Raw genomic sequence first — 11,972 nt, 5'->3', positions numbered from 1 at the left:
AAGTCCAAAATCAGGGTGTCTGCAGGGCCATGCTCCCTCTGAAGGCCCAGGGGAAGAGTCTTTTCCTTGCCTCTTCCTGGCTTCTGGTGTCGTGGCGCTCTTTGGTGTTCAGTTTGTAGGTGTATAACTCTAATCTCTGCATCCATCATCTCACGGTGCTCTCTCTGTGTGTCTCTGTGTCACTTCTCTTCTTACAGGGACATCAGTCATTGGATTTAGGGCCCAGCCTAATCCAGTATGACCTCATCTTAACTTGATTACATCTGCAAAGACCCTGTTTCCAAATAAGATCACATTCATAATACCAGGGGTTAGGACTTGAACTTATTTTCTTGGGCAGGGGAGACACAATTCTGCCGCTATAAGCATTAAATTGTCTAATTTATTTAGATGAGGGAAATTGTGAGGTATCTGGCTGTATGTCAGATAATGATATTTGTTTCATAAATAACTGTTAACTGCCTTAGGCAGAACACTTATTTGATATGGAAGGTAGTAGGGTCCTCACCTTTACGAACTTGTGCTTTGGTAGAAAATACCAAAATACCATCAAGAAGCAACAATGCAAGATAAAATGAAGGACGGGCTATAAAAGAACCAAGAAAAAGCCCATGGATAGGAGACATTTAGCTGGTGTTATGGAAGACAGGTAGAGGTACTGGTGGAGAGGAAGCAGAGGTAAGAAAGTCACTTCAGGTATTATGGGAATGATAGGGACTAGTTCAAAGGAGAGAGAGTGAGGGATTGAGCTGGACAGTTTCCTTTAACACCACTAAGTATATTAACTATTGCTTCTGCAGAGTTTTTGTTTTTTTTTTTTTAAGTGTAGTAGCAGTGTCTCAGCTCACTGCGACCTCTGCCTTCCAGGTTCAAGTGATTCTCCTGCCTCAGCCTCCCAAGTAGCTTGGATTACAGGCACATGCTGCCACGCCTGGCTGATTTTTGTATTTTTAGTAGAGACGGGGTTTCACCATGTTGCCCAGGATGGTCTTGAACTCCTGACCTCAGGTGATCCACCTGCCTCAGCCTCCCAAAGTGCTAGGATTACAGGCGTGAGCCACCGTGCCCAGCCGAGAATGAAATATTTAAAATAGCTTTATTTGACCTAAAGAGTATAACAGTAATGTGACTAAATGCAATGTAGTATCCTGGGTTAGATCCTAGAACAGAAAAAGGACATTAGTGACAAAATTGCAGTCCAATTAGTGGCTTCCAGGGACTGGGAGGAGGGGGAAAGGTGGTTTAATGGGTATGGGGTTTCCTTTTGGGGTGATTAAAATGTTCTGGAATCAGATGGTGGTGATGATTGCACAGCACTGTAAATGTATTGAATGTTGATGGTAAATTTTGTGTTATGTGTATTTTATCATAATTTTAAATTTAATTTAATTATCTATTTTGAGACAGGGTTTCACTCTGTTGCCCAGGCTGGAGTGCAGTGGCACAAACATGGCTCACTGCAGCCTTGACTTCCTGGGCTCAAGTGATCTTCCTGCCTCAGCCTCAGCCTCTTGAGTAGCTGGGACCACAGGCATGTGCCACCATGCCTGGCTAATTTTTTTTATTTGTTGCCCAGGCTGATCTTGAACTCCTGGGCTCAAGCAATCCCTCCTTAGCCTGCCAATGTGCTGGGATTATAGGAGTAAGCCACTGTGCCTGGCCCCAAAATTTCTTAAAGACCGTAAGGCACATTAAAAAATAAAAAAATCCGGCCAGTGTGGTGGCTCACACCTGTAATCCCAACACTTGGGAGGCAGAGGCAGGCAGATCATCTGAAGTCAGGAGTTTGAGACCAGTCTAGCCAATATGGTGAAACCCCATCTCTACTGAAAATACAAAAATTAGCCGGCCATGGTGGCACAAGCCTGCAGTCCCAGCTATTTGGGAGGCTGAGGCAGGAGAATCACTTGAACCCGGGAGAAGGAGGTTGCAGTGAGCCAAGATCGCACCACTGCACTACAGCCTGGGTGACAGAGCAAGACTCCGTCTCAAAAAAAAAAAAAAAATCCAAATGTCTGCAGTTTAGTTACTAGTATTGTACCAGTATTATTTTTTTAGTTTAACAAACATACCATGATCATCATGGTCAACATTTAGGAAGCTGGGTGAAACAGGAACTCCATACTATCTTTGCAACTTTTCGGTAAATCTGAAATTTTTCTAAAATGAAAATTTATTTTAAAAAGTTAATGTGGGCCAGGCGTGATAGCTCACACCTATAATCCCTGCACTTTGGGAGGCTGAGGTGGGCAGATCATCTGAGGCCAGGAATTCAAGACCAGCCTGGGCAACATGGTGGAACCCCATCTCCACTGTTATACAAATATAAAAATTAGTTGGGCATGGTGGTGCACGCCTGTAGTCCCAGCTACTCGGGAGGCTGAGGCACAAGCAATCGCTTGAACCCAGAAGACAGGGGTTGTAGTCAGCCGAGATTGTGCTACTGCATTCCACCCTGGGTGGCAGACCGAGACCCCATCTCAAAAAAAACACAAACCCAAAAAGTTAACGTGAAAAAAATCCATGATCCTTATTTTTCCTGATGCATTTGGGTGTTTGTGTGTTTATATATATCTATCTTTTAGAGTATAATTTCTTTGAGGCCAAAGGTATAATGTGTATCTCTTTGGTATAATTCTTAAAATATTAGTAAAATTTTCAGAATTTAAACATTGAACAATCAAGTTCGGTTTTTCTGAAGAGCCCTAAGTAGAACAGCTTTTCAATTAAGGTCTCTGGCTGCTGTGGAACTGGAGGGTAATTGGTGAGAGTCTCCTCTCTGGGGCCTGTCAACCCAAGAGTAATGACTTCTGGCCACTTCAGACCTGAGGTAATTTCAAACCAGCACAAGTTTCCATTTGTTCTCTTTATCTAGTCTGCTCTCTAAGTTCAGTTATTCATGTGGTTCAATTACCCCGAGATCTCAAGGGAGAGAGGCAGGGATTTAAGAAGGAAAAGAACAGACACAGCTCCATATTTTATGTGGCATACAATATGTAGGATGTATGATACTTCTGCACACAATGGTGGTTCATATCAGTGGGATGTGGTGGCTCACACCTGTAATCCTAGCACCTTAGGAGGCCGAGGTGGGTGGATCGCTTGAGCCCAGGAATTCGAGACCAACCTGGGCAACATGGTGAAACCCTGTCTCTAAAAAAAAAAAAGAAAGAAAGGAGACTTTATAACAATTAAAAAAAATTCCCCCCAAAATCATCTGTTCATCAGTGAGGATCTGCAGATGTCTCTGCTTTGTCCCATGCATATTTGTCATTTTTCTAAAAGGTTGATTTTGCCCGGGCACGGTGGCTTATGCCTGTAATCCCAGCACTTTGGGAGGCCGAGGTGGGCGGATCATGAGGTCAAGAGATTGAAACCATCCTGGACAATATGGTGAAACCCCGTCTCTACTAAAAATACAAAAATTAGCTGGGCGTGGTGGCGCATGCCTGTAGTCCCAGCTACTCGGGAGGCTGAGGCAGGAGAATCACTTGAACCCGGGAGGCGGAGGTTGCAGTGAGCTGAGATCGCGCCACTGCACTCCAGCCTGGCGACAGAGCAAGACTCCGTCTCAAAAAAAAAAAAAAAAAAAAGGTTGATTTTTTCTAAAATGGGTTAAAATTTCTTAACCAAAACCTTAGAAATTAGAGTTCTTGGCACATGACTTTGTATAAAGTCCTATTTTTCATTAAGTGGCATCTGTTGTCTTATTTGTGGGTTGACTCATACTTAAAGCGACTGCTTTCCACAGATTTGTTCATCAGCAAAAAAGCATACAAATGCAGGAATAATTACCATTTTAGAAACAGTGAGGATGGCTCTATCCATCTATAAAAACTGGTGGGGTTGGTGTAAGACAAAATTGGCTAATAAGAGAAATAGAGCTAGAGAAATAGATAGAAGGAAACAAAACACCCAGCCAGAACCAGTTAGTTCTCTGGTCATTTAGACAAGGTTTTACTGGTACTTGTGTGGGTTTGGTAGTTAACTGCAGAACCATATGTGGCTCATGTGTTTAATAACTGCAAATGTTTACTCTTAAATTCACTTGCGGTATCTAAATTATGAATAATTAATTCCACAGCATGGGATTGGGGAACCTCAGGAAATATTTTTAATTATCTTTATTAAATCCTAAATTAAAAGCATCACTTCAGGTGTTAAGAACCCAGGATCCCATCAACTTGTTTACGTATTTTTTTGAACAGATGATAGTGGCTGTGTAACAAATTACCCCTAATTTAGGAGCTTTAGAACCACGAACACTTATCTCCCAGCTTCTGAGGCTGAGGAATCTGGGAGTAGCTTAGTTATAGTCAGATGGTAGGTCAGGGGCTGCAGTGATCTTAAAGCTTGCCTGGGGCTGAATTCCTTCCAAGCTCACTCACATAGTCTTTGGCAGCTCCTTGGTGTTTGTTGGCTGCTGACCTGTTCTATTGGACCTCTCCATAGTTTTCCTGAGTGTTCTCATGACATGAAAGCTGGCTTCCCCCAGAGTGTGTGATTCAAGAGGAAACAAGCAAGCAAGAGAGCACCTGAGATGGAGGACAGAGTTTCTTGTGTCCTAACCTCAGAAGTGACATCACTTCGGCTGCATGCTAGTGGTCACAGACCAACTATGGCCCAGTGTAGAAGAGGAAGCAGGCATCATTGGGGGCCATCTTGGAGGCTGGGCTACCACTGTGGCTGTCAAATCTTTGAGGTATTTATACTCTATTGGAAAACTTTAAAATAATGACCTAACAGCTTTAATTTTAAATGTCAGTATTTATGCTGAAAGTTTCATAATTTGCTACTACTACGCTAATGATGAAAAACTTTAAAGATACACCTAGGGGGTATATAGTTGTTTTTTTTTTTGAGATGGAGTCTCCCTCTGTCGCCCAGGCTGGAGTGCAGTGGCGCTATCTCGGCTCATTGCAACCCCCACCTCCAGGGTTCAAGTGATTCTCCTGCCTCAGCCTCCCAAGTAGCTTGGACTACAGGCACGTGCCACTGCGCTGGCTAATTTTTTGTATTTTTAGTAGAGACGGGGTTTCACCGTGTTAGCCAGGATGGTCTTGATCTCCTGACCTCGTGATCCGCCTGCCTCGGCCTCCCAAAGTGCTGGGATTACAGGTGTGAGCCACCACGTCTGGCCAGGGGGTATATAGTTTTAAAAAATTATTTTGGTGCTGAGTGCAGTGGCTCATACCTGTAATCCCAGCACTCTGGGAGGCCAGGAGTTTGAGATCAGCCTGAGGAACATAGCGAGACTCCACTTCTATAAAAAAAATGTAAAGATTAGCCAGGTGTGGTGGTGCATGCCTGTGGTCCCAGCTACTGAGGAGGGTGAGGCTGGAGGATTGCTTGAGCCCAGGAGGTCGAGACTGCAGTGAGCTGTGATTGTGTCACGGTACTCCATCCTTGGCTGCAGAGCCAGACCGTCTCAAAAGATAAAAGAGCCGGGCGCGGTGGCTCATGCCTGTAATCCCAGCACTTTGGAGGCCAAGGCGGGCAGATCACGAGGTCAGGAGATCCAGACCAGTCTGGCCAACATGGTGAAACCCTGTCTCTACTGAAAATACAAAAATTAGCTGGGCATGGTGGCGCACAACTGTAGTCCCACCTACTTGGGAGGCTGAGGCAGGAGAATCCCTTGAACCTGGGAGGCAGAAGCTGCAGTGAGCCAAGATCATGCCACTGCACTCCAGCCTGGCAACAGAGCAAGACTCCGTCTCAAAAAAAAAAAAAAAAAAAAAAAAAGATAAACTAATTAATCTATCCAGTGCCCCTCTTACCATATTCCTTTGGCTCTTTATCTCCCCCACGTGGTGCTCTTTTATCTTAAAAGTATGCACAATTGATAAATGAAAGATGAACTGCAAATTGGAATAATTTGGGTCCTGATTTGTGAATTGAAAAGATTACTTGAAATTTGGAATGTCCCTGGAAATCTAGGACTTCTGGTTATTCAGGCCAGGCGCGGTGGCTCACGCTTATAATCCTGGCACTTTGGGAGGCCGAGGCGGGTGGATCACCTAAGGTCAGGAGTTTGAGACCAGCCTGGCCAACGTGGTGAAATGCCATCTCTACTAAAAATACAAAAATTAGCTGGGCGTGGTGGCGGGCGCCTGTAATCCCAGTTACTTGGGAGGCTGAGACAGGAGAATCGCTTAAACCTAGGAGGTGTTCAGTCGGTTGTAGTGGGCCAAGATCACGCCATTGCACTCCAGCCTGGGCAATAAGAGCGAAACTCTTTCCCCCACCACCCCCCCCCAAAAAAAAGAAAAGAAAATGGATCGGGATTTTTTTTTTAAACGGCATTTACTAAACAGCTAAGTACCTTCTATGAGCAAGGCACTGTACAAGAGCTGTTGGGGATACCAAAATAATACAATCTACGATCTACTAAAGTTACAAGCCGGACATTATGGTGACTGGATGTTCAGAAAAGAAACCAGATGACATTATTATGGTACACCAAAAAAGCCCCCCAAAAACCGTACTCAACTGTCACATTCTTATGGAATACAATTTTTACAGATTGTATACAATTTGCATGTGAAATTCTGCTTACTTTTTGACTAGGTATGCCACTAATGGGTATGTTTAATAAAGATATTTTATACTTCAGATGTACAGACCAGGTCCGGTTAATTTTAGCCAACAATGTATTGTTGAAAAAGACGCTGATATTTTACTGCGGCAAACCACCATTAACATAAATTTTAACCACAGTTTGAGTATTTTATTAGGAATAAGCCTTGAAACTTGAATAGGACTAGTATTCCTAACAATTTACCGTTTCATAATAAAGGCTGTCTCACTCTTAAGTGGAAAACGTATTATGTCCTACTTTTATAAACTTTGGTTGAACTAAATAAAACAGCAACATGTACCCAACGTTTTTAGACTGTTTTATTCAGTACCATAAACATTCACTAAACTATACAGAGCTAAAATCATGCAAAAGATTGCAAAACAAACTGCCTTGGGAAATTTCCAGTCTAAGCTAAATGGACCAAGTATAGGATTGAATTTTAAGAAGTTGGTGGGAAGATTCCAGCTCTTGTACTCACAGGTAAGGTCCTAGGATTCTATTTGTTGAAGTGTCTGCAGACCCTCTCCCTACAGCAGGGGCGTGGAGCAAATGTGCATTCAGGAAGTGCTTATTAGTCCCCCCAAAACCTTTTTCGTGACGACAGACGGATGGAGGCCTCAGACGACTCCGGCAGTAGGACCCTGAACCAAATGCCTGAGCTGCGCTCGAAAGGCTCGTCTCGCAGGAGCTGGCGAGTGGCACGGGCTTCGGTGGCCGGGCTCGGGGCTCGGGGCTCGGGGCCCGGGGCCGGGGGGGGCGGGGGGTCCGTGCCCAGGGCACTCTGTGGCTCGATTCATGTCCCCGCCCTCCCACCTGAGCACACTGGGCAGAGAGCCTGCGGCATCGGGCCAGTCGCGCCTCCTCGTCCGCCCTGGGCAGGTCGCTGGGCCCCAGGCCGCTTTCTACAGCTCCTTTAATAAAATGGACAGCAGGGGTCCTAACCAGACGTGGGCATCAAGACAAAGGAGGCGGCCAGACGCGCTTGAGGGCCTGCTCGCTAGCTCCCGCCCCCCCATTCCGCGGTCACCCGGGGACAGAGGCCAGGCCGGACTGGGTGGAGTTGGGACTCATACGTCTGCGTCCAGGAAGGCGCCGGGCGAGCCCCAGCTAGACGTGACGGGCGGGGCCGAACACGGCAGCGGACCAGAGGCCCGCGGCGCACCGGCGTGGGGCGGGGCAAGCGGAGCCTCCCGGGATGCCGCGCGGCAGCCGGCTTCCGGCTGTGGGTGGTGCGGGGGACAGCGGCGGCCGGAAGCTGGCTGAGCCGGCCTTTGGTAACGCCACCTGCACTTCTGGGGGCGTCGAGCCTGGCGGTAGAATCTTCCCAGTAGGCGGCGCGGGAGGGAAAAGAGGATTGAGGGGCTAGGCCGGGCGGATCCCGTCCTCCCCCGATGTGAGCAGTTTTCCGAAACCCCGTCAGGCGAAGGCTGCCCAGAGAGGTGGAGTCGGTAGCGGGGCCGGGAACATGAGGCAGTCTCTCCTATTCCTGACCAGCGTGGTTCCTTTCGTGCTGGCGCCGCGACCTCCGGATGACCCGGGCTTCGGCCCCCACCAGAGACTCGGTAAAGACCCAGGGGAGTTGGCTTAGGCCGGCGCCTGGAGCGCTCGTTTGAGGGAAGAGCAGGGGAGCTGGGTCTATCAGGTGTTTGGGGGCGGGGTATTGGCGATGGTGGCGCGTCCCTAAGTTTTCAGTGTAGAAGGGGGTGTGGCTCTCGGAGTTTGGGGAAAGAATAAAGGAGATGGGCCTGTCTCTGAGTGGGAAAGGGCTACTGGACGGGCTCCATGTAGTGACTGAGCGCCTGAGAGGGGTTTGCTCCCTAGCTTTGTGTTCGGGGAGGGTGTTGGGAAAGCGGTAAGGAGTAGGGTGGCTGGATCTTGTTTGGAGAGGGAGATGTGGTCAGGGTTCTTGCCTTAGTAGGGAACAAATCTAGTGTTGTGTGTTCCTACCAGAGCCAGAAAGGAAGGGCCCAAAGCTCCAGAATTCTTCCTGGTCCTCGAAGGAGGGAACTAGAATTTCTGCTGTAGGAGGTACTTATGCAGTAATCTCGTTGGGAGGCGGAGACTGGAGTTGGAGTCTTAAGAGTTGTGTTTTTGCGAACATCCTAAGCACGTTCTTGGTTATTTCAATTGTAGCTTATTGGAGGTGCTTGGGAGATGGGGGGAGGCGGAAACCTGGTAAGCCAACTCGTGATGCTGCCACTATGAATGCTTTCCTTGCACTTTTAAACAAAGAAATTATCAAGAGTGACGAGTTTGATGAATTTAGAGGCTAGAAAGTAGAGGGTTCCTATTTCATTAGATTTTCCAGAGAGATTGGATTTTAAGGATGGAGATGCATTAAGGGATCTGAACTTTGGTGGAAGTAAGTTTGCGTGAACTTTTAGTGTATTTTAAAATCCTTTTATCTTTCAAAAATTGACGTGTAAGATACTTTAATTAGTAATAAAGTGTGAAATAATGTTTTCCCAGTGTGTGAAATTGTAGGCTTGCATGGTTGTACTGGTTCCCAAATTTCACCATGATACCATGTGTAGTATTTTTTTTCTTTATATTTAGTGGACAGAAATTGTAATGGATTGGTATGGATACTAAAGGTGTTGAGAGTGTTATCACTTGAACAGCTGTCTTATGATTCTTTCCGATTGAAATGGATTACAAGTGACTAATGAAAGGCAAGGGATCTTGTTAGGAAGTGCTGAGAAGTGGTAAGTCAGTACAAATTGAAGGACATTTTGAGGTAGGATTGTGGTTAGGATGGAGGGATAGGGTAAGGGTCTTCATTTTAAGGATAAATGTTAGTAAAAAGAATAAATATGTATTTTGAGATATTAAAATTATATTTGCACCACCCTGACACAACTGTTTCACTTATGTTATTAATCTGTTGTTCGTAGGTAAAAATAAGCATGAGTCCCAAGGAAGCATACAGTTTAAAGAGAAACATTACTTTCTAGATCAATTCATAACATTTGCAGATCGTAAGGTTTTTTAGACCATTTTTTTTTTCCAAGACAGAGTCTTGCTCTGTTGCCCAGGCTGGAGTGCAGTGGCGCGATCTCAGCTCACTGCAACCTCCGCCTCCCGGGGTTCAAGCAGTTCACCTGCCTTAGCCTCCTGAGTAGCTGGGATTACAGGCATGTGCCACCACGCCCAGCTAATTTTTGTATTCCTAGTAGAGACGGGGTTTCACCATGTTGGCCAGGCTGGTCTAGAACTCTTGACCTCGTGATCCGCCCACCTGGGCCTCCCTAAGTGCTGGGATTACAGGCATGAACCACCGCTCCTGGCCCATGTGTTTGTTTTTTATTTGCAAAATGCAGACCACCTGTGCCAGAAGAATGCATAGACTTTTCTTTTTTCTTTTCTTTTCTTTTTCTTTCTTTTTTTTTTTTTTTGAGGCAGTGTTTTGCTCTTGTTGCCCAGGCTGGAGTGCAATGGCGTCATCTCAGCTCACCACAACCTCCGCCTCCCGGGTTCAAGCAATTCTCCTGCCTCAGCCTCCCAAGTAGCTGGGATTACAGGCATGTGCCACCACGTCCGGCTAATTTTTTGTATTTTTAGTAGAGATGGGGTTTCTCCATGTTATTCAGGCTGGTCTCGAACTCCTGACCTCAGGTGATCAGCACACCTCGGCCTCCCAAAGTGCTGGGATTAAAGGCTTGAGCCACCAGGCCCGGCCTCTTTTTTTTTTTTTAAACGAAATATTTGAAGGACACACAAGTATTATACGTGGCATTGGAAATACAAAGATCAGACGATATCCATCTTCAAATGGTTATAGCATAGGGAAATAGACATTCATTTAGGACACTTCTAAAACAGCATAGAGGAGAGTGCTAGAGTACGTTATAGCAAGTGTTATCACCAAATGAATCTTAGAGATCAAGTCTAGTTTTCAAATAAAGGAGGAGGAAAATGAGTCTCAGGAAGATGCTGTCAGTTGTCAATGATGAACATAGGCCTTGTGGGTATTTTTCTTTTGAAGAATGACTTTTTTTTTCAGTTTGTTTGACAGCTTACAATATAATTTGTTACTTAACCTTACCATTAGATTGAGTTGGTCAAGACTAGCAAATAGTTTCATAGTTGAAAAACATGCTTTATTATTTATTTTTTATGTTTATTGTCCTACAAATACTACTATATTGCAGTACTCAATATCGATTAGGCATATGACAACATTTTTCTGAAAGGCAAAAAATACCTAATAAAATGAAGCCTGGTTTTTAGAGTCCTCTATGGGTCACCAAAAATGATTTCAATTGAACTGTTATGAATTGCATAATTTAGGAAAGTTATGAGTCATATGAGCTTAGTCATGATGATATCTTGTTGAAGTTGCAGCTGGGGTGTATAAGTCTCACTTTGATTTCAAAATCGTTTTCCCTTTGTGTTACTTTTAATAAAAGAGGATGTAGTGGGTGGGAGGAAAAAATATAGGTCACAGATGAGGGATGAGAAAGTTTGTATCTGAAACATGTATTTTCAAATTTACCTTGAGGTTATTGGCATGGGGATTCTCCATATTGCAGTGCTGATTTCATTATTGACAGCACCATTTTACTCAGTATTTTGACATCTGGCTTTCTCTTTTGATGTTAATTTTGCTTACTGGCTGCATTCCTTTGAAACCTAAATGCTTAACTGCCCTAACTGCTCCAAGGGAGATTTAATGTAACTCTGCTTTATATTAGTCTAAGAGATAAACCATATTTCAAGAGTAGAATGGAGAGGAATTAAGCAGATAATTGTGATGGGGAAACTGGAGAGATCCTTTTGACTTTCACAGGATTTCCTAGAACATTAAATATAGGTTTCCTCCAAGGCCAATTGTGGTTGATTTTTGGATCCTTCACCATTTTCTATTTGTGAGATAATAAGTGTATACAGCTGGAAGTGTAATGTGAAGAAAGTCTGAAAAAGATTGATAGGAAAGGAGGACAGGAATGGGCTTCATTGAGGTAACGGAAGTGAAATGAAAGGCTTTTCATATATGGGTTGAGCATCCCTAATCTGAAATGCTCCAAAATTTGAAACTTTTTGAATGCTGGCATGACAGCACACATTACCCCTAACACACGATTTTTTCACTGTTAGTGGTATATTTTTTACTGTGTAGTACTTATGTGTGAATAGGTATAACAAAACGATTACTTATTGTAGCATGTAAAATCAGTCAGGAATGATGGTGATGCCAGACAACCACAGATTATTTATGTGGGTGGCCGAGACAGTGACACCTTTGCTTTCGAATGCTTCGTTGTACACAAACTTTTTTTCATGCAAAAAAAGTTACTTAAAAATATTGTTTAGGCCAGGCGCGGTGGCTCATGCCTGTAATCCCAGCACTTTGGGAGGCCGAGCTGGGTGGATCACGAGGTCAGGAGAT

General features: G+C 44.7%; 1 protein-coding gene across 4 annotated transcripts in view, besides 4 other annotated features; it reads left to right on the top strand.

Annotated features, from left to right (window-relative positions):
- Positions 6,900-7,194: a silencer, noted in NCBI's record as "tiled region #1969; K562 Repressive non-DNase unmatched - State 1:Tss". NCBI's record gives its function as "represses a minimal TATA promoter and a strong SV40 promoter by Sharpr-MPRA in K562 cells {active_cell/tissue: K562}" and the evidence as "EXISTENCE:reporter gene assay evidence [ECO:0000049][PMID:27701403]".
- Positions 7,166-7,385: a silencer, noted in NCBI's record as "silent region_11136". NCBI's record gives its function as "represses an Ori minimal core promoter by ATAC-STARR-seq in GM12878 lymphoblastoid cells {active_cell/tissue: GM12878}" and the evidence as "EXISTENCE:reporter gene assay evidence [ECO:0000049][PMID:35858748]".
- Positions 7,616-7,905: a silencer, noted in NCBI's record as "silent region_11135". NCBI's record gives its function as "represses an Ori minimal core promoter by ATAC-STARR-seq in GM12878 lymphoblastoid cells {active_cell/tissue: GM12878}" and the evidence as "EXISTENCE:reporter gene assay evidence [ECO:0000049][PMID:35858748]".
- Positions 7,824-11,972, top strand: part of ADAM17 (ADAM metallopeptidase domain 17) — a 67,345-nt gene continuing 63,196 nt past the window's right edge. For all 4 annotated transcript variants that reach the window (NM_003183.6, NM_001382777.1, NM_001382778.1 and 1 more), the window contains exon 1: positions 7,824-8,145. In NM_003183.6, coding sequence (NP_003174.3) covers positions 8,049-8,145 — 97 coding nt within the window. In that variant the 5' untranslated portion in view covers positions 7,824-8,048. The remainder of the gene's footprint in view (positions 8,146-11,972) is intronic.
- Positions 8,520-8,814: a silencer, noted in NCBI's record as "tiled region #4047; K562 Repressive DNase matched - State 2:TssF". NCBI's record gives its function as "represses a minimal TATA promoter and a strong SV40 promoter by Sharpr-MPRA in K562 cells {active_cell/tissue: K562}" and the evidence as "EXISTENCE:reporter gene assay evidence [ECO:0000049][PMID:27701403]".

Source organism: Homo sapiens, chromosome 2, assembly GCF_000001405.40.
Source record: "Homo sapiens chromosome 2, GRCh38.p14 Primary Assembly".
Classification (NCBI taxonomy): domain Eukaryota; kingdom Metazoa; phylum Chordata; class Mammalia; order Primates; family Hominidae; genus Homo; species Homo sapiens.
The sequence above is the reverse complement of the archived record's forward strand: the minus strand, read 5'-3'. Positions and strand labels throughout refer to the sequence as shown.